The following is a 27,258-nucleotide window of genomic DNA, read 5'->3' on the forward strand; positions in this document are numbered from 1 at the left end:
AATGCATGATTATGACAGAAAGTTTGGAAAATATAGAGGTTCACACACACACGCCTTCATTGCGTGTGCATGCATAAATGCATGAGAAAAGAAAAATAACCAGTAATCACATCGCCCAGAAATAACCCCAGTTACAATTGTGGCAAATACACATACTTATAAATATTGCAGATATATTAAGTATACCTAGTATTTGCTAACACTCTTTCTTCTACTCTGTCATGAAGATTCTCCCAAGGTGTTTTTGTATAATATTTAATTCATTTTCAGTGGCCAAGCAGTATTCTACTTCATGGATATACCAGGATTTATTTAACCATAACTTCTGGTTGGATTCACTCTTATTATTTTGTTTAATTAAAAAAAAAAGACCTCGGCTGGGCACAGTGGCTCATGCCTGTAATCCCAGCACTTTGGGAGGCCGAGGTGGGTGGATCACCTAAGATCGGGAGTTTGAGACCAGCCTGGCCAACATGGCAAAACCCCGTCTCTACTAAAAATACAGAAAATTAGCCGGGTGTGGTTGCCAGCACCTGTAATTCCAGCTAATTGGGAGGCTGAGGCAGGAGAATTGCTTGAACCGGGGTCAGGGGGTTCGGAGGTCGGAGGTTGCAGTGAGTCCGGATCATGCCACTGCATTCCAGCCTGGGTGACACAGCCAGACTCTGTCTCAAAAACAACAACAACAACAAAACAACAACAACAACAACAACAAAAATCTCACTGGACATCCTAGTAGCTAAGGCTTTCCACATATTCATGATTACTTCTGTTGGAAAGTGCTTTACAACAAATTGCTAGTTGTCTCAGTCTGGGTTCCCCTGAGATGAGGATTCAAGGGCCAGGAGTTTATTTAGGAAGTAAAGGAAACACTGATAGAGGAGTGGCAGAGTGAGAAGGGGTGATGGTCATCCACAGCTGGCTCTCTTGTGGTCAATCGGAGCTTAATCCTGCTGGGTGACTCTGGGAGCCAGTGGAGAAAAGACACCCCAGACTTATCCCAATGAGGAACACGGCTGTTGGGTGCCTGAGTACTTGCCTCGTCAGGGATTGAAACGTACTCCCAGGTAGTAGTAATTTCTCTGCCCTTCCATTAGGCCACAAAGGGGGCTCTGACAGAGAGAGCTGACGAGAAAAAACACACGCCCTTGTCACTGAAGAGGTACACAGGGGATCTGTGTGGGGCACCACCTGCACTGCTACCCTGGACAAATAGCTTAAGAAATCCCCACACTGCATCCCCAAACTTACTATCAGCGTGTGAGGGAGACAGGTTCCCACACCCTCATTAGCACAAAGTACTATCTTGAAAAAGAAAGCCTGTCAGTTTGATAGGAGAAAAGCAGGATCTTGTTTACAATGTGCTTTTATTATTGTTATTATTAGAGATTGTATTTCTTTTCAAGCTGATGAGCCGTCTGTGTTTATTTTTTGGAGGATACCCTTTGCCCACTTTCCTATTGGAGTGTATTACCCTGAGGATTTGGTAAGAGTGCTTATTGCATTCACCAGAATGTCCTTTTTGTCATTTACTGTATTTTCTCTACTTTTTTTTTTTTGCCTTGTTTTACTTTTTTTGTTTTGTATTACAAGCAGAAGTTTTAAATTTGTAAGCTTCAAATTGGAGCTGGGGTGGTGCAGAGCGAAGATTTCAGCTGGTTCCCTGACCCCAGCTCCATCTCCTTCCCTAGGCAGTGGCTGGAACACATTCTGTCCACTATTTCCCTCTCTACATCCTTGAGGCTGTGCAGTCACCCCTCAACTACGTTCACCCTCCTTCAAAGCCCTTCCTGGTCCACCCGGGGACCATCTCCCGGCCTCACTGCCCCTAGCTCCTTGACGCCCCAACCTCTCTCAGGGACCCCAAGTTGCCATGACCTCCAGCCAGCTCATGTTCATTTGCACCTTCGTGTCTGCAGCACTGAGGCACTCTTGTTTACAAGTGAGAGAACCCAACTCGGGATACCTTAAGCATAAACAGTATTTTTGTAAGGAGACAGGCTTCTGACGACGCGAGGCTCATAGCCAGGCCTGCGCTGGGTGGAGCCTCCCCTTCTCACTCCTGTCCCTGTTGGGTCAGAGTGCCAGCTTTCCTCTTCCCTCTCCTCCGGGTCTTTTCGGCCCCTCAGTCCCCATATTCCTCTGCCCTAGCTCCCAAGATCCCACAAGAGACAGACTGGATTCTCTCTGGCCTGGAGTGCCACCTTCCTGAAAGTCAGAATCTGATTGGTCCAGCTGGATCAGGTGTCCTCTCCCTGTCCAATCATCAATGCCGAGAGGGATTACGGAGAGAAAAACATGGCTCCCACCATCCCATTGCTGTGGCTGCTTGGGCCACGGGAGAGGGAACCTTGTGAGCCGGGCAGAATCCACCCTGTAGAGACTGCCTCTGGGTGAGTCATATGGTTTGGCTGTGTCCCCACCCAAATCTCATCTTGAATTGTAATTCCCATTACCCCCATGTGTCATTAGAGGGACCTGGTGGGAAGTGATTTGAATTATGGGGGCAGTTATCTCCATGCTATTTGTGTGATAGTGAGTTCTCACAAGATCTGATGGTTTTATAGGGGGCTTTTCCCCCTCTTGCTCATACTTCCTCTTGCCTGCCACCATGTAAGATGTGCCCTTGCTCCTCCTTCACCTTCTGCCATGATTGTGAGGCCTCCCCAGCCATGTGGAACTGTGAGTCCATGAAACCTCTTTTTCTTTATAAATTACCCAGTCCTGGGTATTTCTTCATAGCAGTATGAAAATGGACTAATACAGTCAGCTTCTGCACAATATTTCCATTTTCCCACATTATGTCTTGGGCCTTTTGTGTATTTAAGCTCACAGGATGCTACGAATAAAGCGTTTTCTTATTTCCTGGGTAGTTCCCATAGAAGTAGTGGTGCAACGTGCCATAGAGTGACAGCACCTAAGAGAAGCTGATTTTGTGAGTGGATTGTGAGTTCAATATTGTTGTCATAATCAGAAAAAAATGTATTTACTTTTTTTTTTTTTTTTTTTGAGACGGAGTCTCACTCTGTTGCCCAGGCTGGAGTGCAGTGGTGTGATCTTGGCTCACTGCAACCTCCGCCTCCTGGGTTCAAGTGATTCTTCCTACCTCACCCTCCTGAGTAGCTGGGATTACAGGCACATGCCACCCCACCACACCCGGCTAATTTTTGTATTTTTTAGTAGAGACAGCGTTTCCCCATGAAAAAAAGTATTTTCAATTTGGAAAGCCAAGCAGAGCCCCCTTCTTCCTCCTTGGTCTCACTGTCTTCATGTCCTCTGTAGATAACATGCTCAGGGGCCTCTTACTTTTGGCCATGGCTTACACACTCGACCTGTGTGTAATTTAAAAATGACCCCTTTCTCCACTCCTCCTGATTGCCATATCCTTCACAATGTGACTTTGCAACTCTTCTCATGAAAAGGAGGAATCTATTTCTCCAGCCTGTGGGTCCTGGCTGGCCTGTGACCTGCCCTGGCTGACAGAGTGTGGCAGGTGATGAGCACTGGTTTCAAGTCTAGGCCTCAAGAAGCCTTCATATTCCCGCTCACTGTCTCAGAACCCTGTCCAGCTGCTATGAGAACAGCCTGGGTGAGCCCTGCTGCACAATGTCCCCATCACCCTAGTCATTTCAGCCAATAGCGAGCCAATGGCCAGCCCTCTAGCTGTCTGAGATACATGGGTGAGACTCTAGTTGTGCTTGGCTGGACAGAGCACAGATCCACAGACCCACGCAGGTGACTCATACACTTGTGAACTATAATAATCGGTTGTTTTCAGTCATTAAGTTTTGAGGTGGTTTGTTACACAGCAATTGCTGACACATTCACTTCTGGCTCTAAATGTATCACTTTTCATGTGTTGAGTCTGAAGACCTTCAGAGGACAGAGATGTGTTCCACCTACCCTATATCCACTGCAGCATGGAAAGCCATGCTTAGCTGCACACAGTAGGCGTGCAGTCTGGGCCTGTGGAATGGACTTGGCAACCACATCACCTCAGTGATCTTTCAAACGGAAAAGAAGGCTCAGTGGGGAGTGGGAGGAGGTAGTGCAGAGGGGCAGTCCTGTGAAAGAAGGGGCATGGGATAGCTGCTTGTGTCTATTTCATGTTGATCAATGTATCTCCAAGTGCAGAACAAGGAATAACGCAGGAATTTTATGAGGAAGAAATGTTGGGCATGATAAGAAAGCTCATTTTCTAACCATCTGAATTCCATGAAGTAGAAAGAGGCTGGTCCTGAGAGTAATGAGCTCCCTCGTATTGGAGGTGTCCAAGCACAGGCTGAGGAACTCCCATTTGGCTGGATGGGCAAACTTGGAGTGGAAATTCCACTTAAGCAACCTTGGCCCTAGATGTCTCTGAGTTTTGTTCCTGTTGTCTTGCAGTGCATAGAAAGATTTCCCAAAGGCCAATATTTCATTGTTGTACCTATGATCTGGATCATCTCTCCTAGCTATAAATGACAGGGAAATCCTTTGGGCTCCACTTTTGGTTTAGGAAATCAGGGTGCCTCCTCTCCTACCTGTCTTTGATGTTCTTTATCTTGTAAGTATTGTGCTAGTGGAAATCCAATTTCTTATCCTGCAAGTCATCCAGTCCCCGGGAAGGAGGAGTGCTCTCCCCAGGGCCTCTCAGTCTGCCCCTCCTCTCCTCTCCAACTGTCCTGACCACACCTCCCCACCCAGGGCTCACATGACTGTGTTCCCCTGGGACTTGGTTGTAAGCCATCCCCACTTCTACCATCTCCCTTTCCCAAACAGGCCCCTGTACTTCAGCACACACATGTGAATAACAGAAATGTTGAATGACAACATGATGTGGAGTTTTCACCCCAGAGCCCTGTGCACTCTTCAAAGACCTGGGTTGATAGAGACTCAGGGAGGCAGTTGGATCTCAAAGTTCCGAGGGTCTGGGATCTAACGGTGATAGTTCTAGTGAAACCCTCCCACCCTTCCAGGAGACCCATTCCTATAAGAAATATGACTGAAGAGCCCAGCTGTCTCACTTTGATAACCAATTCTTCCATTTGCATTTCCATTGATGTGTATTGGGCCAAGAGCAGAGCTTTTTCTTGTGGTTAATATCTGTTTAATCCAGAAGAAGACCCTAAGGAAAGGTCAGTATTTAGGTCCCAGAGTAGCTCTTTAAAATCCTTTAAAGGAAAAGAGAGTATGGGATAGTAAAGGGCCATGGGATGGATCTTTGAGGATCAAGGAACTTGGGACAGGAGGAGAAAGGATCTGAGAGCCTTTCTTCCACCATCTCGACATCTATGTTGGTGTTTCTCAATTTTTAAGAAGCTGTGGATGTTGAGAGAACCCCTTAAAGGAGTTATGAGAGATACTGATATGAATTTCTCATTAGCCATTAATTATCAGTGTGTAGAAGAGAGGGCGAGAGGGCTCTATTAAACTAAGGATATTATCTATTGCTGTGTAACAAATTATCATAAACTCAGTGGCTTAAAAGAACATCCATTGATTATCTCACGGTTCCACTGGCCAGGAGTCTAGGCATGGCTTTCCTTGGTCCTTTGTTTAGGGTCTCAGAGACTGCAGTCCTTTCTGGAGTTCAGCTTCCTCTTCCAAGCTCATGTGCTTATTGGAGAATTCAGTTTCTTATGGTTGTAGGACTGAGGCCCTCAGTTCCTTGCTACGTGGCCCTCACCACAGGCAGTTTGCATCATGGCTGTTTACTTTTCAAGGCCAGTAGAATGTTTCTGTTCAATCTGATAAGAGGGAATCTCATGTGGCATAGTGTGATCATGGGAATGACATCCCACCATCTTTGCCATATGATGTAATCCACTCGAGAGAGGGTCACCCATCACCTTTGCCATATTCTGTTGATTAGAAGGAAGTCACAGGTTCCACCCACACACCCTCAAGGGGATGGCTTTATGGAAGGGTGTGGGTCGTTGGGGTCATCTTAAGGTGTGTGTCACACCCCGTATTTTACAAATTCTGTTGATCTCAAAAGAGCTTGAGGAAGAGATGACTGAAGCCATTACAGAAGCAGCAGTAGCCTCAAGTGAGGAGGTGTCAGAGGAAAGAGACGACCTGGGGCCTCTTGAATTACATGACAGTGGTAAGAATGTCATCCACATTTCTGCTTTCCTGCCCCATCTCAGACACTAACTCTTTGACTGCAGCCCCAGCCTAGGTCTCCCTTTCTCCATCTGCACAGTGGACATCATACCACACATGAAGCTGGAGCTGCGCAGGTGGAGGCAAGGCCAGGGACACAAGGGCACCTCCTGTCATGGTCATTTCCACACTGCACCTGGGTGGCGTTTGTTTTCATAGGTACCTTTCAACAAGTCGTGAACCTTCTGGACATCATTGACAGCGAGTCAGCAAAGACGGACACAACAGGGGCAGGCCTTGACATGCGGAAGACCCTGGCCTCGGTGATAATCATGGAGAAGGCCACCACTGAGCCTTCTGTAGTGATAAACACTCTCATCCGCTGCCTGCAGGTGCCAGAGGTAGGGCCATCTTACCCACTGGGCTCAGCCACCTTTAGCTCTGTGTGCATCCATCCACCACCCAGCACATAGTTACTGACTATCAGAGATGTGATGTGTGGTACTGGGATACAGAGATGGGCAAGACTGTGAGGTGCTTACTCCCTGAGGACCAATTGGGACCTGAGATGTTCATAATTTTTAAAAGTTCCCTTGTCTTCTGACACAGTGGGTTTGGGAGCCATTGTCCTACAGCACATGAGCTGAGTTGCAAAGATGTTGAGCCAGTGGGCATGGGAGAGTAAAGATACACCAGACACAGTGTGCAGGGATGTTTGGCTAGTGGGGAGATGCCTAGCTGGGTTAAGGGGCTGGGGTAGAGGATGTTGGAGGGAGTGATACAAAGTGCAACCAGGGGACCTGGTGGGCTTGTACAGACAAGGTTTGCATCACGTGGTACCAGACAAGGTTTTGGACTAGACAAGGGTTTGGAACAGAGCTGATCCAAACCTTGCTGGGCACCACCCCCAGAGTTTCTGATTCAGTAAGTCTGGGGTGGAGCCTGAGAATCAGCATTTCTAACAAGTTCCCAGGTGATGCCAAGGCTGATCTGGAGAGCCTACTTTGAGAACTGTTGGATTTTAGACTACCCTTTTGTCTTGGAGTGGGTAGCAAAGGGGTGCTATGAGCAGAGGAGCTTATTTATAAAAAGTTTTATTATTTTTGTTGGATTTGGATTTGCATTTGCGTTTTCCCCCTTTTATTTTTAGTTGACACATAACAATTGTACATATTTATAGAATACAAAGTGATATTTCAAAACATATATACAATGTGTAATGACCGAATCAGGGTAATTAGTATATCCAACACTGCAAACATTTATCATTTCTTTGTGTTGCAAGCATTCAAAACTGTTTCTTCTAGTTTTTTGAAAATATACAATCAATCATTGTTGACTATATTCACAACCTACAGTGCTATAGAACACAAGAGCTTATTCCTTCTCTCCAGCTGTAATTTTGTATCTTTTAATCAACTTCTCCCTATCCTCCCCTGCCCTTACCTTTCCCATACCCTAATACCGAAATTCTACTCTTGACTTCTATGAGCTCACCATTTTTATAGCTCCCATATATGAGTGAGAACATGTGGTATTTATCTATCTGTGCCTGACTCATTTCACTTGACATAATGTCCTCCAGTTTTATTCATGTTACGGTAAATGACAGGGTTTCTTTTTTTTATGGTTGAATAATATTCCGTTGTCTGTGTATACCACATTTTCTTTATCCCTTCATACATTGATGGGTACTTACGTTGATTCCATATCTTGGCTATTGTGAATAGTACTGCAATAAACATGAAAATGCAGCTATCTCTTAGATATATTGACTTCCTTTCTTTTGGATACACACCCAGTAGTAGAATTGCTGGATCATACGGTAAATCTAGTTTTACTTTTTTTGAGAAACCTCCATAGAGTTTTCCATAATGGCTGTACTAATTTATAGTCTTACCAACAATGTGTGAGGTTTCCCCTTTCTCCACATCCTTGCTAGCATCTGTTATTTTCTATATTTTGGATAAAAGTCTTTTTAACTGGAGTGAGATAATATCTCATTGTGGTTTTGATTTGCATTTCTCTGATGATTAGTGAGGTTGAGCATTTTTTTATATCCCTGTTGGCCACTTGTATGCCTTCTTTTGAGAAATGTCTGTTCAGATCTTTTGCCCATTTTTAAATTTGATTTTTTTGCTATTGAGTTGTTTGAGCTCCTTGTGTATTCTGGTTATTAATCCCTTGTAGGATGGAGAGATATTCTCCTATTCTGTGGGTTGTCTCTTCGCTTTGTTCACTGTTTCCTTTGCTGTGCATAAGTTTTTTGCTTGACATAATCCCATTTGTCTATTTTTGCTTTTGTTGCCTGTGCTTTTGAGGTCTCACACAAAAAATCTTTGCACAAACCAATTTCCTGGAGCATTTCCCCAATGATTATTTTCTAGTAGTTTCATAGTTTCAGGTCTTGGATTTAAGTCTTTAATCCATTTTGATTTGATTTTTGCATATGGTGAGAGATAGGGGTTTAGTTTCATTCTTCTGCATATGGTTATCCAGTTTTCCCAGCACCATTTATTGAAGAGACTGTCCTTTCACCATTATATGTGCCTAGCACCTTTGTCAAAAATGAGTTGACTGTAAATGCATGGATTGACATCTGGGCTCTCTATTCTGTTCCATTGGTCTATGTGCATGTTTTTATGCCAGTACCATGCTATTTTGGTTACTATGGCTTTAAAGTATATTTTGAAATCAGGTAGTATGATGCCTCCAGCTTTACTCTTTTTGCTCAGGATTGGTTTGTCTGTTTGGAGTCTTATGGTTCCATGTAAAAATTGTCTGTAAAGAATGTCATTGGTATTTTGATAGAGATTTCAATGAATCTCTAAATTGCTTCTGGTAGTATTTTGATAATATTAATTTTTCTATCAGTGAGCATGAAATAGCTTTCCATTTTTTGGTGTCTTCTTCAATTCTTTTCATCAGTGTTTTATAGTTTCCCTTGCATAGATCTTTCACTTCTTTGGTTAAATTTATTCCTAGGTATTTTATATTTTTGTGGCTATTGTAAATGAAATGGATTTCTTGGTTTCTTTTTCAAAATGGGTGAAGTGTTCTGTTGTTTGCCATTTGGCATATACTAATGTTACTGATTTTTGTATGTTAATTTTGTAATCTGCAACTTAACTAAATTTATTTATCAGTTCTAACAGTTTTTGGATGGAGTCTTTGTATTTTTCTAGTATGAGATCGTGTCATCTGTGAACAAGGATAATTTGACTTCTTCCTTTCTATTTTGTATGCCCTTTGTTTCTTTCTCTTGCCTAACTGCTCTGGCCAGGACTTCCAGTATTATGTTGAAGAGCAGTGGTAAAAGTGGGCATTTTTATCTTGTTCCAGATTTTAGGAACAAGGCTTTCGATTTCTTCCATCTGGTACAATGTTAGCTGTGGGTTTGTCATATATGGCTTTTATTATCGTGAGGTATGCTCTTTCTATGCCCAGCTTGTTGAGTTTTTAAAAAATCATAAAGGGCTGCTGAATTTATCAAATACTTTTTTTAGCATATATTGAAATGATCATATGATTGTTGTTCTTGGCTCTGTTAATGTGATGTATCACATTTATTGATTTGTGTGTATTGGACCATCCTTACATCCTTGGGATGAATCCCACTTGATCACGGTGAATGATCTTTTTATTGTGTTGTTGAACTCAGTTTGCTAATATTTTGTTGTGGATTTCTGCATCTATGTTCATCACAGATATTGGCCTGTAGTTTTCTTTTTTTGTTGTGTTCTTGTCTGGTTTTTCTATCAGGGTAATGCTGGCCTTGTAGTATGAGTTTGGCAGTATTCCCTCCTTATCCATCTCTTTTTTTGAATAGTTTGGGTAGAATTGGTATTTGCTTTTATTTAATGTTTGGTAGAATTCAGCAGTGAATCCATCCGGTCCTGGGCTTTTCTTTGATAAGAAACTTTTTATTACTGTCAATCTCATTATTCGATACTGGTTCATCGGAGTTTTCTATTTCTTCGTTGTTCAATCTTGGTAGTCTGTATATGTCCAAGAATTTATCTGTTTCCTATAGGTTTTCAAATTTGTTGGCATGTAGTTGTTTGTAACTCTAATAACTCTAATAATTCTTTGTATTTATTTATTTATTTTGGTGACAAGAGTCTCACACTGTTGCCCAGGCTGGAGTGAAGTGGCACAATCTTGGCTCACTGCAACCTCTGCCTCCCGGGTTCAAGCGATTCTCCTGCCTCAGCCTCCCAAGTAGCTGGGATTACAGGCACGCACCACCATGCCCGGCTAATTTTTGTATTTTTGGTAGAGACGGGCCATGTTGGCCAGGCTGGTCTCAAACTCCTGACCTCAAGTGATCTGCCCACTTCGGCCGCCCAAAGTGCTGGGGTTACAGACGTGAGTGCCGGGATTACAGACATAAGCCAATGTGCCCAGCCAGTTCTTTGTATTTCTGCCAGTCTCAGTTATGCATCCTTTCATTTCTGATTTTATTTATTTGGGTCTTCACTCTTTTTTTTTTATTTATTTACTCTAGCTAAATATTTATCAATTTTGTTTGTTTTTTCAAAAACTCAACTTTTCTTTTGTTCTCCTGTATTGTTTTATTACTCTTGATTTTGTTTATGTCTGCACTGATCTCTTGCCCTTCTTTAAATTTTGGGTTGGGTATATTCTTGCTTTTTTTAGTTCCTTAATGTGTATCATTAGGTTGCTTATTTGAATTCTTTCTACTTTTTTGAGATAGGCTTTTATTGTCGTAAACTTCCCTGTTATACTGCTTTTGCTGTATCCAATAGATTTTTGTATGTTATATTTCTATTTCCATTCATTTCAGTAAAATTTTAAATTTCCTTCTTAATTTCTTTATTGAACCAGTGGTCATCCAGCAATATATTACATAATTTCTATGTGTTTGTGTATTTTCCAAAGTTTTTTTGTGGTTGATTTCTAGTTTTATTCCATTGTGGTCAGAAAAAATAATGTGATTTATAGTTTTATGAATTTGTTGAGACTTGTTTTGTGGCCCAAAATATGGTATATTCTGGAGAATATTCCATGTGCTGATGAGAAACTAATGACGTTGAAATGTGACCTCAGAGTTGGAGGTGAGGCCTGGAGGGAGGTGTTCGGGTCATGGGGGAAGATCCCTCATGAATGTCTTGGTGCCCTCCCTGTGGTAATGAGTTCACATGAGAGCTGGCTGTTTAAAGGAGCCTGGCGCCTCCTCTGTCTCGCCTTCTCCCTCATCACATGATGCACTGGCTCCCCTTTTGCCTTCCACCATGGGTAGGCCTTACTAGAAGCAGAGGCCGGCAGCATACTTGCTGTGTGGTCTGCAGAACCATGAACCAAAATAAACCACTTTTCTTTATAAATTATCTAGCCTCAGGTATTCCTTTATAGCAATGCAAGAACAGACTAACACGGGCTTTTAAAAAATGTAGGCCAGGCGCAGTGGCTCATGCCACTTTGGGAGCACTTTGGGAGCCAAGGCGGGCGGATCACGAGGTCAGGAGTTCGAGAGCAGCCTGACCAATGTGGTAAAACCCCATCTCTGCTAAAAATACAAAAATTAGCCAGGCGTGGTGGTGCACGCCTGTAATCCCAGCTACCCGGGAGGCTGAGGCAAGAGAATTGCTTGAACCCGGGAGGTGGAGGTTGCAGTGAGCTGAGATCGTGCCACTGCACTCCAGCCTGGATGAAAGAGCGAGACTCCATCTCAAAAAAAAAAAAATGTAGGCTTTGTTTTTATTCAGCTATGATGAGACCAACAGCTCAGGAGACACTTGCTCTTGAAAGGACAGTTTATTGGCTGGGTATGGTGGCTCATGCCAGGAGTGCAAGACCAGCCTGGGTAACATAGCAAGACCACATCTCTAAAAAAATTAATTAATTGGGTATGGTGGCACCTGTCTGTAGTCCCAGCTACTTGGCAGGCCGAGATGGGAGCATTGTTTGAGCCCAGCATTTTTGAGTCAAGGCTGCAGTGAGCCATTTTGCACCACTGTACTCTAGCCTGGGTGACAGAGCGAGACTTTGTCTCAAAAAAAAAAAAAAAAAAGGAGAAAAGACAGTTTGTTACATTCCCAAGAGAGGGGGCCAACCATGCCATGCAGGGTCACACAGGGGAAGCACTAGGGTCTGTGAGGAGGCAGAGGGAGTCAGGGGAAATTATAGGCAACAGGCTTTATTGTGGTTTCTGTAGAAAGAAACTGGTGAGGTAGGGTAAGAAGGCTTAGAATTAGCTAATTTGAATATTCTCAGTGGACTCTGGGGCAAAGTAGCTGTCCCTGGCTGTTTGATACCTCCCCTGTGTGATTAGGACAGGTGGATAGTGGCCCAGAGTGTGAGAGCCCAATAAAGGAGGTGATTGGGAGAGGGGCTCTGTGTTGGTTGGAATACTGTGTTCAGGATGCCCTAATGGAGTACTATAGTATGGGTGGCTTAGAAAACAGAAATTTATTTTCTCACAATTCTGGAAGCTGGAAGTCCCTGATTGAGGTGCGATATGGTTTGGCTGTGTCCCCACCCAAATCTCACCTTGAATTATAGCTCCCATAATTCCCACATGTTGTGGGACGGAACAATTGGGAGATAATTGAATCATGGGGTGGTTTCCCTCATACTGTTCTCATAGTAGTGAATAAGTCTCACGAGATCTGATGGTTTTATAAGGGGTTTCCCCTTTCTCTTGGCTCTCATTCTCTCTTGCTTGCTGCCATGTAGAACATGACTGTGTTCCCCCTTTGTCTCCTACCATGATTGTGAAGCCTCCCAACCACGTGGAACTATGAGTCCATTAAACCTCTTTTTCTTTATAAATTACCCAGTCTCAGGTATGTTTGCATTAGCAATGCGAGAACAGACTAATACAAGGTGCCAGCAAATTTGGTTTCTGTAAAGCCTTGCTTCCTTGCTGGCTTTCTTGTGTGACTGCCCTCTCACTGTGTCCTCACGTGGCTCTCCTGTGCATGCGCACAGTGGGAGAAAGCACTCTTGTGTCTTCTGCTTCTTTTATAAGGGCACCAATCCCATGAGATTAGGGTCCCACCCTTGTGACTTCATTCAACCCTAATTACCTTTCGAAGGGCTCATCTCCAAATACTATCCCACTGGGGGTTAGGGCTTCAACATAGGAATTTTTAGGGTACATTATTCAATCTGTAACAGTTGTTTTGTACTTAAAAAGCATGCTGATGGACAACTTGTTACTATCTCTAGGAACTGGCTAGCTCTGGGAGGAGTAGTCTCTCTAGGGTCAGCAAGGACCCAGGTGCCAAAGCATCAGGAAATGAAGAAAATAAGAAACCATGATTAACACACAGGTCTTAATCAGTCATCAGTGGCAATAAACAGACAATAAACAAATAGGCACATTTTAAAATTAACATGCATCAAAGATTTTATTTTCTCCTTAACTAGTTAAGGAACTAGTAAGATGTTAAAAGCTGTTCAAATGAGAATTTTACCTGTGCTTTACCAGACAAAATCCATTTGCACTGCCATGAACAGGAATCATTTTCATTCCTATGTAGGAAACACGTGCATTGTTATCAGTTTTCTAGGATTTAACTTTTTTCCCTACAGAGATGTAAAGTAGCCTTGGCAATCACAGATGCACACTCTACAGAATCCAGTAATTCCACAGCATCTGCCAGACAGAACCAAGCTCTGCTCTGGAAGGCCACTCAGTGATCGCTTTTGTTATTTCCAAGTCTTTGACAGTTTTTCTCTTGTGACTATAAATATTCTCCGAAGATTATTCTTGATCACAAAAAAGGCTGATCTTCTTATAATTTGCCTGGCTATTTGTACAGGGTGCAGTAAGAGTGTTAATTAAGCATATTGGCCTCCTTGAGTTTACTGTGAAAATCTAGAGCTTGCATTCTCAATGGGGTGATATTGCCCCCCAGTTAAGTAAAACTAGTTCTTGGGGGACAAAGAAAATTTTACTTTTTCATTATAAAGCATGGATATGTATAACACACACACACACACACACACACATATGTATATACATATACATATATATTATATATATATACACATATACATATATAATATATATACATATACATATATATTATATATACATATATATTACATATATCATATATACATATATATTATATATACATATATATTATATATATCATATATACATATATATATTATATATTATATATATCATATATACATATATATTATATATATTATATATATCATATATACATATATATTATATATATTATATATACATATATATTATATATATCATATAAACATATATATTATATATATCATATATACATATATATTATATATATTATATATATCATATATACATATATATTATATATATCATATATAATATATATTATATATATTATATATAATATATATTATATATACATATATATTATATATACATATATATTATATATACATATATATTATATATACATATATATTATATATACATATATATTATATATATACATATATATTATATATACATATATATTATATATACATATATTATATATACATATATATTATATATACATATATTATATATATACATATATATTATATATACATATATTATATATATACATATATATTATATATACATATATTATATATATACATATATATTATATATACATATATTATATATACATATATATTATATATACATATATATTTTATATATATATAATATATATTTTATATATACATATACATATATTATATATATACACACACATATACATATATATGGCATTAAAGTCTCGTTGGGGTGTGATTAGGAAAAAAGTCTAAATGTCCTTGGGAGTAATAATAATAATAATAATAATAATAATAATAATAATAAAGATTGAGAAACACTGGTCTTGAGCCACACAGCACTGAGCAGCTACTAAGGCCACATCATTAATTTCTGGGAGCTGTCATAGGGATTTCTGATTGGAGTTTTACAAATCCCTATTATTTGCTATCCCAAAAGTAGGAAACCAAGACCAAGACTCCCTGTACTGGATTTCACCAGTAGAACTTACACATTTGGGTGAATTCCTCTCTTCTTAAGGTCCCCAAATTTGCTAAGGATTCTGGACTGTTGGGAGTGACCTCCCTACCACCAGAGGAGGAAGGACATTTTTTCCTGAGGGCTTTGCAGGCAGTGGCTCCACCTAGAAAGTAACCCTCATTCCTTAAGAGTGGCTTGTCAGCCGGGCGTGGTGGCTCACGCCTGTAATCCCAGCACTTTGGGAGGCCGAGGCCGGCAGATCACGAGGTCAGGAGATGGAGACCATCTTGGCTAACACGGTGAAACCCCGTCTCTACTAAAAATACAAAAAAAATTAGCCGGGCGTGGTGGCGGGCGCCTGTAGTCCCAGCTACTCGGGAGGCTGAGGCAGGAGAATGGCGTGAACCCGGGAGGCAGAGCTTGCAGTGAGGCGAAATCGCGCCACTGCACTCCAGCCCGGGCGGCAGAGCGAGACTCCGTCTCAAAAAAAAAAAAAAAAAAAAAAAAAAAAAAAGAGTAACTTGTCATGCCTGATTAAAAGTATTCTCAAATACGACCCTCCAGGTGTGATCTGGGATGTGCAATCTATCTGCCCAATCCCATCCTAAACCAGGTCATTTTCAGTGGTGATAAGCGCTATCATGCAGGAATTGGAAGAGAGTAAGAGGCAATTTTCCTGGGCCCACAGACTCCCTCAATAGGGCAAAGGCAAGGTGAGCCTGCCTTCTTTGGGCTTTCAAGATGGCCAATGCCCCATGCATAGAGAACCTTGTGTGTTGATCACTTAACACCTGCCTTGCCAGATATTTACTGAAATCGGGCAGGAATACAGATACGCAAGTCATATTGACAGGGCCAGTGGGATGAGAAGGGCAGGAGAAGCGAAGCAGGAGGATTTAGAAATGGAGGAATGGGGATCTAAGATTTGTGTGTTTGGAGGCTGGTGGTTTGGGTGTAGGGAAGGAGGACAGTGGGAGAGAGAGGTGGACTTGTGCTGGGGGCAGGGTGAGGTCCATTCCACCCACCATACTTGTTTCCCAGATTTCCACCCAGCGCAAGGTCAACATTTACAACATCCTCCAGGACATCATCCAGCAGGAGGGGGAGCTGGAGGAGCAGTGCGTGCAGAGGCTGGTGGCCATTGCCTCCAAGGAGATGAGGGAGATCCCAGAGGTAGGACCCCAAGCTCCATCGGTGCCTTCCCTCTGCCAGCCCAGGAGCTGGGCCACGGGGGGCCTGGCCCAGGATGCCCACAGCCCTGTGCAGTTACCTCTCAGAGCAGGGGTAAGGCTGAGCCCAAGGGAACCAGGAGGGGTGGAGAGAGCCTGGGGTAGGAAGGTTTTCCTGGAGGCCCGGCTGGTGGTGGTGCCATATGTCCCTCTTCTGTCTCCTGCAGATGGAGGGCTATATGAAGGCAGAGGTGGCCAGCGACACACTGGTGGCTCTGTCCCGAAACCACTTCAGCTTGGTCATGTACGAGCTGCAGCACCACCTCAAGCCCCTCAACCTCACTGATGAATTTGTCATCATCACACTGGCCAAGCTGGCCAACGGCAATGGTAGGGGCTTGAGGGCCCTCAGCCGGGCCCAGTGTGCCCTTCTGGTCTCTGCCTCTCTCTGCCCCTCCCATCTATCCCTATGTTCACCTCTTCCTCTTACCTTTCATTTCTCTCTTTTTCCCTCTAAAATTGATTCATTTTGTGTCTGCAGTCCTTTTGTCTCTTAGCTGTTAAGATTCTGTGTGTTCTGTCTCTCATCCTTCTTCCCCCTCTCTCCTGCTCCCCTCCACCTGCATTGTTCTGTCTTTCCATCTCTCTTTCTTTTTTAATTTCCTTCCTTCCTTCCTTCCTTCCTCTTTCGTTTCCTTTTTTATTGCCTGCCTTACTTACTCCTTCCTCTCCCTCCCCCTTTTTCTCCTTCTTCCCTCCCTTCCTCCCTTCCTCCATCCCACCCTTCCTTCCTCCCCTTTTCTTCTCTCCTTCCTTCCTCCCTCCCCCCCTTCCTTCCTCCCTCCCTCCTTCCTTCCTCCCTCCCTCCTTCCTTCCTTTCCTTTTTAATTGCCTGCCTTACTTACTCTTTCCCCTCCCTCCCCCTTTCTTTTTCTCCTTCCTTCCTTCCTTCCTCCCTCCCCTCCCCTTTCCCTCACCTCCCCTCCCTCCCTCCCCTCCCCTCCCCTCCCCTCCCCTCCCCTCCCCTCCCCTCCCCTCCCTCCCTCCCTCCCTTCCTTCCTTCCTTCCTTCCTTCCTTCTCCATCCTCCCTCCCTTCCTTTCATCCCAGAAGCATGCGCTGAGCTCCTACTCCATGCAGGCCTTGTGGCAGGTACCTGGCCACTACAATACATAAGACACACATGGCTCCGGTGCTCAGAAAGGACCAACAGGCAAACAAGGAAATAGACGTTTATAACAGGAGGTGACGGGTATGAAGAGAGCAGCCAAATGGGCGTTTGAGATCTGGCTAAGGGAGGGGACCTCATCTCTGCAGCCCTTGTTGAGGTAGCGATATTTCAGCTAAGACCTGAAGGCAGAGAGGAGGATGTCTGTGTGAAGCATAGGACCGGGAGAGCATTCCACACGGAGAGAACATTGCAGAGGCTCTGGGGCAGAGAAGAGCTTGGAATCTCTGAAGAGTTGAGAAGTGGCTGTGGCTGGAGTTAAGGAGTGAGAGAGAGATGAGGGGGAGCGTCAGGCAGGGCCTTGGGGACGTCACCTCGGGCACTAGGAAGCTATCGAAGGACATTAAGCTGCAGGGTCGCCTGGTGAATGCAGGTTGTGGGAAGGCCTTTCTGACTGCTGCCTGGATGGAGAGTACTAGGAGGTGGGTACTTGTGATGGTGGCTGGGCTGGGAAGCATGTGGTGAGGGGTGACAGGTGGGAAGGGGCTCTGAGACGGGACCTGCTGAGGACGGGGGAAGGAGCAGAGGTAGCAAGCCACTGGGAGCGTGTTGGCCTCCTTTCCCGAGCTAGAAGCACTGAGAGTTGGGAGCTCAAGTGAAGAACTTCATGCTGTGTGTGGAGCTCATGTTGCCTGTGGGAGCCCCCAGGGGAGAGGTGAAGGGGGCAGTTGATTTGTGGCGCGGAGTTCAGAGGGCAGGTCTGGGCTTGGCTTTGGTTCTTGGTGACCTCAGAGTGCAGGTGATGTTCAAAGCCATTGATATCCGGGAGTGAAAGTAGAGAGAGGACCCAGCCCGGAGGGGTCCTGGCATTGGCAAGGCTCGGGAGGAGTCGTAAGAGACAGCGTGGAATGTGAGGCCTGGCACAGGGAGAACAATCTCAAGGGGTGCAGGCCCCCGTGATGCCCATCCTGCCAAGGGGTCCAGTGAGATAAGGCTGGAGAAGGCGGGAGGTGGAAGAGCTTCACGGCTTGCTGGGGATAAAGGCCTGGATGGAGTGGGAGGGGAGGAAGGGAAGGCAGGCCTGGAAAGAGGACAAGGGACAGCAGCGAGGGGGATTATTATGAAGTCTGAAGATGGGGGTGCACTCAGGGTGGGTGAAGTGGAGGGGCCTGCCTCCTGTTGCAGGGTGGCCTGTTACGGCTCCCTTCCTTCATCCGTCTGCTCTTTTTCTCTGCTGGCCTCGTGCCTTCTCTCAGTTCCTTGCTCTCACCTGCTGTCTCCCTGCTTCTGTGTTCGCCCAAGAACGTTTGTGGGACCCCTGAAGGAGGCTGGCCTGTGTCCGGGAGGATGGACGCACTCTGGGGGCTGCTTCTTTCTGCTTCTTGCCCCTCCTTCCCTGGGGCTCCTCTGTCCTCTCTTCCCTCCCTCTCTCGGACCTCCTCTTCCTTCTCCTGGTCCTCTCTCTTCTTCCCTTTCCTCCCCTTTTGCCTGGCTTTCTTCCTGTGTCACCTGCTTCTAGCTCACTTTTTTTTTTTTTTTGAGATGGAGTCATGCTCTGTCGCCCAGGCTGGAGTGCAGTGGCGCGATCTCGGCTCACTGCAAGCTCCGCCTCCCGGGTTCACGCCATTCTCCTGCCTCTGCCTCCCGAGTGGTTGAGACTACAGGCGCCTGCCAACACGCCCGGCCAATTTTTTGTATTTTTAGTAGAGACGGGGTTTCAACCGTGTTAGCCAGGATGACCTCGATCTCCTGACCTCGTGATCCGCCCACCTTGGCCTCCCAAAGTGCTGGGATTACAGGCGTGAGACACCGTGCCCTTCTAGCTCACTTTTTAATGCTTTTCTGACTCCTGGACTATTTCCTGGGCCCCAGCCAGGACAGAGGGCTAAGCCAGCTCTGGACTGTTAGGGGTTGGAGGTGGAGGGCAGCAGGGTTGTCCTCTCTGCCTTCTCTCTGCTCACCCCCAGCCCCAACTTCCTGTAATCATCCCTCACAACCTCACAGTGTTTGAGTTCATGCCATACATGGGCATCACCCTGGCTACCATATTCACCATGCTGAGACTTGCCAATGAAGCCAAGATACGCCAGGCGATCTGCAGTGGTGAGTGTCCCACTTGAGCCTGCAGGTCTGGCTCGATCAGGGCGCCGGAGGGAGACTGCTGGGTAAGGAGCAGATGGAGGGGTTGTTGAAAAAGAGGTGCACTGTTCACTTGTTCTCCAAAGGAGTTTGCTTAATCTTTTACTTCGTGTGGCCTCTGATTGGCTGCCTGGGGCACAAGAGGCTGAGACATGGTGGGGGCCTTTTAGAAGATCCCGGCTTAGAGGGAAGAAGCTGCAACGGTGACTCCATTTAGCTTGCTTTGTAATTAAGCACTTCAGTTCATGAGACCACAGAACAGCAATGAGCATTCACAGGAGAGGGAGACCGGGGAAAACGGCTCCATGTGGAGCTTGACGGGGACTGGTCTTAGATGCTATTTCAATCTGATCACCTTGCCCCAGATTTTGATTACTTAATGTTCTTGTGGGCTTATAAAAAGCCCTAGTGCCTGAGAAAAAGAGGGCCACATGTGTTCACTGTTCACTGCCCTCTGACCTGGAATCCCCAGGATGTGGGCAGGGTCATACTCCAGGCCTCGCCCTTGACCCCGTCTCTGTCCTTGAAGGAGAGGGACCCAGACACCCCCGAGTGCTCAGTTCTCACACACACAGGCACGCAGAGTAAAAATGAAGGTGCTGTGGGGGGTTGGAAGGGCAGGGTGCAGCCTGCTCGCTACGGCAAGGCATGAGCACTTCCACTCGGGAAGCTGGGCTGGGAAGGCTTGGTTCTGCTTCCAGCCCCTCTGGCGCCAAGTGCATTCCCCTGTTGCTGTTGGTAGCCATGGAGACCTTCTGTGAGACGGTGCAGTTTTATCTGAAGCACCTGGAGGAGAGCGTGTACCCCGTGATGACTGAGGAGGAGTTTGCCCTGAAGGTGTTCCCCATGTATCGCTACTTCGTGACAGTGTGGCTGAGGCACTACAACCCCGAGGTGAGATGCACCCCTCTTAGGAGGGCCTGGTGGTCCCCAGGCCACAGCTCCCCAGCCTGTGGGGCCGGGAGGTGCTGAGGGACCGTCGGGTCCACACTTACTCCCAGGACCCTAGAGGGCAGTGACCTGACTCATGGCAGAGCCGGGGAACTCATGGATGCTGAACAGCTGGGACCTAGGAGCCTCATCCACGAGGCCAGGCTTGATGAAGGTTGGTGATAATCCTGAGAGCACTTGTTACATGCTGGGCACTCTACCAGCGTCTTACCCATGGGAGCTATTTTCACACCCACTCTGTGATATAGGACTAGTTGACAAATGAGGAAACTCAGGCACAGAGGGGTTAAGTACCTGCTCAAGGTCATGTGGCTGCTAAGTGGGAGGGACTCAAACCCGGCCGCCTGTGCAGGAAAGACCTTGCTCTGCTTCTGAGGCGCCTTCTGTCCTGTGTCCTTGGATTCTGTGGCTGGGGCTGAGGTCACTGGCCTTGCTGGAGGGTGGTGAGACAATGCGTCCCAGAGCTGGTTTCTGGTGGCAGGTGAAGCTGGGGGTGATCAAGTCCCTGAAGCCCATGCTCGGCCTCCTTCTGCCCAACGATGACCTGCGGGAGCAGGTCTACGACTACATCCCCCTGCTGCTGGCGGAGTACCAGGGCAGTCTGGAGGTGCTCTTCGTCACGCAGGCGAGTGGCCAGGCAGCCACGGCTCTGGGCAGGAGGCTTAGGGAATTGGGGGCTCCCAAGTGTTTAAAGGGGATGAGTGGGAGCCGGGGGGATGTCAGATATTTTGACACTGTGTCAGGAACCCGACATCTGTGCCCTGCGAGGGAGGGGCGTGGAGCCTGGCACCCGTGGGACTCATGGGAATGAACACTGCCCTTCCGGGTGGAAGGGACCAGGTGCTGGTCCCTCGGAGGCTGCAGTGAGGCTGTGGCCTTTGCATTAGTTTGTTAGGGTTGCTGTAACAAAGAACCACACATGCGTAGCTTGAAGCAACAGAGATGTATTCTCTGTACGTCCTGGAGGTCAGGAGTCCAAACTCAGGGTGTCGGCAGGGCTGTGCTCCTTCTGAAGGCTCTAAGGAAGCAAGCTCTCTTGCCTCTTCCAGCTTCTGGTGGCCCCACATGTTCTGTGACTGTGGCAGCATCACTCCAATTTCTCCCTTCCTCATTGCGTGGCCTTTCCCTGTGTGTCCCTCTGTGTCCTCTTCTTACAAGGACACCTACCCAAAATCCAGGATGATCTCACTTCGAAATCCTGAACTAATTCCATCACAAAGACCCTATTTCCAAATAAGGTCACATTATCAGATTCTGGGCGAGCCTGAATTTTGGAAGGACACCGGTCAACTCAAGGCAGCCTTGGTAGAGGGGTGAGATGTGTGAGATGGAGCCGTTGCAGTGTTCCGCGTGGAGCTGTGGATGGGGCTGGTGCCCATGTAAAGGGATCACTCATCTATAAGGAGGGTGTGGGTCTCAGCTCTTAAAGCAAGGAGTGGAAAGGGATGTGACTGATTTAGGAGCCATCTGTAGATCATTCTGGCTAAATAATGGGATTCACTTTTAAGTGAAGGAGGCCTTGAATGCCACACTCAGGGGCCTAGCGCAGCACTTCCCAAGCCTTGCTGTGGTTAGGAACAACCTGGGGGCTGGGTGAAATGCAGGCTTGGATTCAGCAGGACTGGGGTAGGGCCTGAGAGTCTGCATTTCTAATCAGCTCCCAGGGAATGCTGGTGCTCAGTGGGTCAGTGGGCCCCTGAGTAGCGAGGGTCTAGAGTTTGACCTTGAGTTGGTAGAAGGTCACCTGCCACCATTTGCCAATCCACTGCAGGTCTTGAGGCAGATCCTGGAACTGTCAGTCACCACCAACACCCCTGTCCCCCAAATGCAGCTACACACCATTTTCACAGAACTGCACGTCCAGGTGAGGCCAGCAAGCTCAGCTGGACAAGGGCATTCTCTGGGTGGATCAGCAGGAAGCTGGCGGCGGGAGGTGGCCTGGCCCACAACTCACTCGCGTGCTTCCTTTATCCTGATGGGGTATGAGGCTGTGGTGCCCATGCAGCCCCAGGTATGGTCAGCTGGGCTGCCCCTGCACCTGTGTCCCTGTGATCTCCTCCAGCCTCACTGCACGTCCCTCACCAGGTGTGCAACAAGGCCCCGGCCCAGCATCAGTACAGCAGCCAGAATCTGATGGAGATGGTGCACTGCTTCGTAGCCCTTGGTGAGGCTCTGCGGCAGGGTGCTCCCTGCCTGCCCCGAGGCCTGCAGGAGGCCTGTAGGAGTCCCGGCCCCTCTGAGCGCTGGGCCTGGGACTGCCTTGCTGGGCCTGCTCTGGACCCGGTGAGCATGACTAAAGCTGTCCTTCCACCCTGCAGCTCGCTCCTACCCCAAGGAGCTGATGAAGTTCTTCTTCAGCCAGATGGAGACAAACAAGGAGGCCGTCCGCGTGGGGACTCTGAATCTGATTAGGGCTATAGTGAGCGCAGATGGTGAGCAAGGCAGGGTGGGTGGGGTGGGCGGGGAGGGTGGGGTAGGCAGGGTGGAGAACAAGGGAGGCAAGTTTCATTCATGTTCGGGCATTGCCACTTCCTAGACACTACTGGGTGGGCCAAGAAAGCCAAGGTTCTTGGCTGCTTTGCATTTTCTAAGCTTTAACCTAATCAGCACTGTGGCTTACCCTCCCCACACCCAACCCTCTGAGTCCGAATTGTTAACCCGAATCCTCCTGCTAACCTCCAAAGCTCAATCAGAGGCTGGATATAAGGCCAAACTACACCACATAGGCATAACTCTGAAGCCCCGTGGACTCAATGCTCAACCATAGTCTACACATCTGATTCCAATTCCTAAGCCCAAACTCTAAACCTAGCCCTGAGATTTAAAGAGAACCCCTGTCCCTAACCAAGGCACTAGCTCACACTCTGCCTTTGTGTGAATTTGAAGAAGGCCCCTGTTGACAGCATGCAGCCCTACAGGTACATAATGGTTAGAAGAGCATGGGCAGCTCCCGCTCAGCCCTAAAGTTGGGTAGCTTTGTTCAGTGCACAAATTGGGCAACTGTATGTAAAGGGCCTTGTGCTGCCATTAAACCTTTCTCTTGAAGAAATGCACATTTAAGCAACAATGAAATCCTTTTTACCTATTCAATGAATAGAGATGATAATGGCTAGAGTTCACCTGGTCATTTTTCTGTGAAAGGCCAGAGAGTAAAAATATTTTTGGCTTTGCAGGCCATATAGTGTCTTTGACAATTACTCAGCTCTACCATTGCAGACCAAAAACAGCTGTGGACTCCTGAGCATGGCTGGTTTTGTAAACTTTATTTACAGAAACAGGCTGTGGGTTATACTTTGCTTATTGCTAGTCTAGGGTGACAAGAAACCACCTGTGATACTTCAGTGACAGAGATGTAAATCAATAAATGATTTTGGGTGCTCAATTGGATACGGACCAACATTTGCACTCAACAATCCAACTTTTTGTCAACCATCCAAAGGACATAATTTCCCAAAAGTAATTGGACAAAGGTGCTCATTAAAACATTGTATTAAAAGCAAAGCATGAGAAACAGCCTAAATGTTTTTCTGTAGGGAATTTGTGGAATAAACAATATATCTGCATAATGGAATATTATGCAGCTATTAAAAAGTGTGTAGTCAATCCACTTTTTGTGGAAAAGCTGCCCTCTTTCTATTGAGTGTATTAAGTGTAGCAATACAACGTGGGGCAGTATTTATAGCATGACCTTAGTGATGTGGAAGAAATCTATGTTCATTTATGCATAAACAGGTCTGAAGGACAAAATCTATTAAAAAGTGGTTATTTTTTATTTTAATTTTGCAATGAACATATGCTATTTTTTCTTTCATTCAGGGAAATTAGTATTTGCCCTAATGCTCTCCCTCCCCTTTCCCCCAACCCTCTAGCAGGCCCCTGTGTGTGATGTTCCCCTCCCTATGTCCATGTGTTCTCACTGTTCAACTCCCACTTATGAGTGAGAACATGCACTGTTTGGTTTTCTGTTCCTGGGCTAATTTGCTGAAGATGATGGTTTCCAGCTTAGACTGGATAAAGAAAATGTGGCACTTATACACCTTGGAATACTATGCAGCCATATACTATTTTTATAATCAGAAACAGTTTGCATCTTCAAGATGAAAACTCTCAATTGTCTCATGCTCACTTGGTGCCTGACTGCCACCTTGTACCTGCTCTCATTTCCTTTTTCCTACTCTGGGGTTGACTTAGTAACACCTAGCCTTGAGTGCAGTATCATCCTGGATGTCTAACTCTACCTCCATCCACACCAGCCCTCTCCAGAACTTTCTCATGGCTCTTTCTTGCCCCTCTTAAGCTTCCTGCTTTAGTTGGGTGTGCTGTCATCAGTTGTACAACTAGCAAACACTTGCCCAGCCCTTACGGTGTGCCAGACTCTGTGTTAACTCTGTGAGAGAGGCACTGTCATTATCCACACTTTACAGGCGAGGAAACTGAGGCGCAGAGGGGCTACGTAATTCACTTTACGTCCCACAGCTGGGATGTGGTGGAGCCAGGATTTGAACCCAGGGAAGGCCTGGTGTCAGGACCCATGCTCTTCACGGTGGTGCTTTGCAACCTCTGTGTGCCCACTGCATGCCCACTTCATGCCCAGTGCTCTGTGCCCAGCTGCAGGACACTAAAGAGCTCGTAGGCAGAGATCTTGCCCTCAAGGCGAGTTCACCTGGGTTCAAATGAGATACACACAAAGCAGTGGCCAAGGGAACGAGGCGTGGAAACAACAGAGGGGAGGGAGATGGCCAGGGAGAGCATGGCCAGGGAGGCTCCTAAGAAAGTGCCCCTGAGCTTGGAGAATGTGGGAGGAGACAGAACGTGAGGCCCTGATGTGGGACGAGCCACCTGACCTCTCCCTGAGCCACAGCCCTCCAGCCCACCCAGTTTTCCTCTTTCAGAGCCCAGGATGAGTATCAGGGCCATCTACCTGGCTATCCGGGTAGTCAAGAACACCATCTCTGATACCCGGTCCAAGGTAACAGGGCAGAGACCTGGAAATGGGGGGCACTCAGGGGACCCTGCCAGGGAGGCAAAGGGAAGTCTGGGCTCTGGGAGGCAGAGGCTTTTGATGGAAAACCCGGCTTTCCATCGGGTCTCGACTGGGGCTGCAGAATGGTGAGGCCAGTGAAAGCTGAGGTTCCACTCTCGAGACCTCATTCTCTCCATGGATCTAGAGTTTTTGAGTGGTGTGTCTCAGGCACCACCTTGGACCCAACAGAGGCCGAGTAAATCCAGCTGCAGCTAGAGTCACTTGGCTGTCAAGGGTTTTGTGAGGTCTTTATCGCATGTGAAAAAAGCAACTAAGGGGTACTCCTCTACCCATCCTCAAAAGGCTGAAAACCACAGTCCCAGGCTCCATGGCAGCCACATCCACCTTGGAGTGGAGCTTGGTTCTGGCCATGGGCTGGGGAAGGGAGGTCCGGCATAGTGAGGGGTCTGCACAGCAGTTTTGAGGAACATCAGAGAGGGAATGGAGGAGAATGGGGGCTAGAGATTTAGGCAGAGCTGTCTTCAGTCCCTGGAGGCTGTGGAGGGAAGCGAGAAGAGGCTCGTTCTGCATCTCCTTCACATAGTGATTCTCATCAATGGAGCAAGCCCCAGGGGGTCCAGGATAACAGATGGGCTCCCCACGGCAAGGGCTGCTAGAATGGAGCAGCCGAGGTTGGAAGGGAGGGAGGGAGCTTTGTGTCTCTCCAAGGCTCAATTAGGCTCCCAGGTGGGCATGCTGCAGAGTGGGACCCCTGGATGAGGCAGGGGGAGGTGGACAGAGTGGGCAGTAATCAGGTAGTCCCTGAGGCCCCTTCTAGCCCAGAGCACCCCCAATTCCTAGCTCTCTATGTCACAGGATTGGGTGCCTTGGAGCCCACCCCAACCCCCAGCATGTCCACGGTCCTGTCCCCTCAGGTGAGGATGGCTATTCTCCACATCATTGGGCAGTTGGCTCTCTGTGGCTACCAGGAGAGAATCAAAGGCTGGGGCCTGAAGTACCTGTCTGTGCAGCTGACCTTATCCACCTACAAACTGGTGAGTGGCCCTGATACGCAGACCGCAGAGCAGCTGGACTTGGAAATGGTTTCCACAGTGCTGAGGGGAGAATGCCACTCAGCGTACCTGTGTTCAAACCTGCGTATCCATTCATGACAGGAGTTCATAGACACAGTGAACCTGCAGGTGACAATGTGTGGGGTCCTAGATATATGCACAGCTCTGAGCATTCTGTAGACTCAGTATCTGGGCATGGAGCCCCTGGGGAGTGAGGAGACCACACCTGAGACCACGACAAACCTCTGCTAGGCCACAGGTGGGAATCCCTTGGTTCTTTCTTCCAGACAAATCGCCGGGAGAAGTTTTATCAGAGGGACTTGGAGGAGAGGATGGTCCACAAAGTCACCATGGACACTGTGAAGATCATTACCTCTTCTGTCAGTGGGATGACCACCGTGAGTGGGCCCTGCCCCACCCGCACAGTGGGTCACCACGCCAGGCTGGGGGTGAACCACACATGCCCAGAATTCCACATCTTTGCTTCTTCCGTTCCTGCTGTCTGGAGTGTTGAGGGGCCTTCCTCTTCCAGTTGCCTGGAATTACTCAAAACCCAGTTCCAAAGCCAGGTCCTTGATGAGAACTTACTCTTCATCTCTGTACCCCTAGAGGCTGGGCAGTGCACGACCTCAGCATGGCTGGCAGTATCAGTCTGTATCATTTGAGCAAGTACCTGAAATGTGTCCATTACTTTAAGGCCCGTGT

The 27,258-nt window shown here is 46.7% G+C and overlaps 1 protein-coding gene across 15 annotated transcripts in view; it reads left to right on the forward strand.

The window, feature by feature from the left end:
- Window positions 2,360-27,258, forward strand: part of MROH2A (maestro heat like repeat family member 2A) — a 57,695-nt gene continuing 32,796 nt past the window's right edge. For 9 of the 15 annotated variants that reach the window (XM_011511076.3, XM_024452844.2, XM_024452839.2 and 6 more), the window contains exons 1-14: window positions 4,853-5,117; window positions 5,981-6,088; window positions 6,307-6,488; window positions 16,133-16,264; window positions 16,488-16,650; window positions 19,432-19,530; window positions 20,309-20,460; window positions 20,999-21,142; window positions 22,289-22,381; window positions 22,603-22,681; window positions 22,836-22,949; window positions 25,410-25,486; window positions 26,416-26,535; window positions 26,841-26,951. In XM_011511076.3, coding sequence (XP_011509378.1) covers window positions 5,042-5,117; window positions 5,981-6,088; window positions 6,307-6,488; window positions 16,133-16,264; window positions 16,488-16,650; window positions 19,432-19,530; window positions 20,309-20,460; window positions 20,999-21,142; window positions 22,289-22,381; window positions 22,603-22,681; window positions 22,836-22,949; window positions 25,410-25,486; window positions 26,416-26,535; window positions 26,841-26,951 — 1,650 coding nt within the window. In that variant the 5' untranslated portion in view covers window positions 4,853-5,041. Of the gene's footprint in view, window positions 2,394-4,852; window positions 5,118-5,980; window positions 6,089-6,306; window positions 6,489-16,132; window positions 16,265-16,487; window positions 16,651-19,431; window positions 19,531-19,557; window positions 20,461-20,500; window positions 20,672-20,998; window positions 21,143-22,288; window positions 22,382-22,602; window positions 22,682-22,835; window positions 22,950-25,409; window positions 25,487-26,415; window positions 26,536-26,840; window positions 26,952-27,258 lie in introns of those variants that run through there. The other 6 variants (XM_024452842.2, NM_001367507.1, NM_001394639.1 and 3 more) reach the window with 5 other exon arrangements.

This window comes from Homo sapiens, chromosome 2 (genome assembly GCF_000001405.40).
Source record: "Homo sapiens chromosome 2, GRCh38.p14 Primary Assembly".
Lineage (NCBI taxonomy): Eukaryota > Metazoa > Chordata > Mammalia > Primates > Hominidae > Homo > Homo sapiens.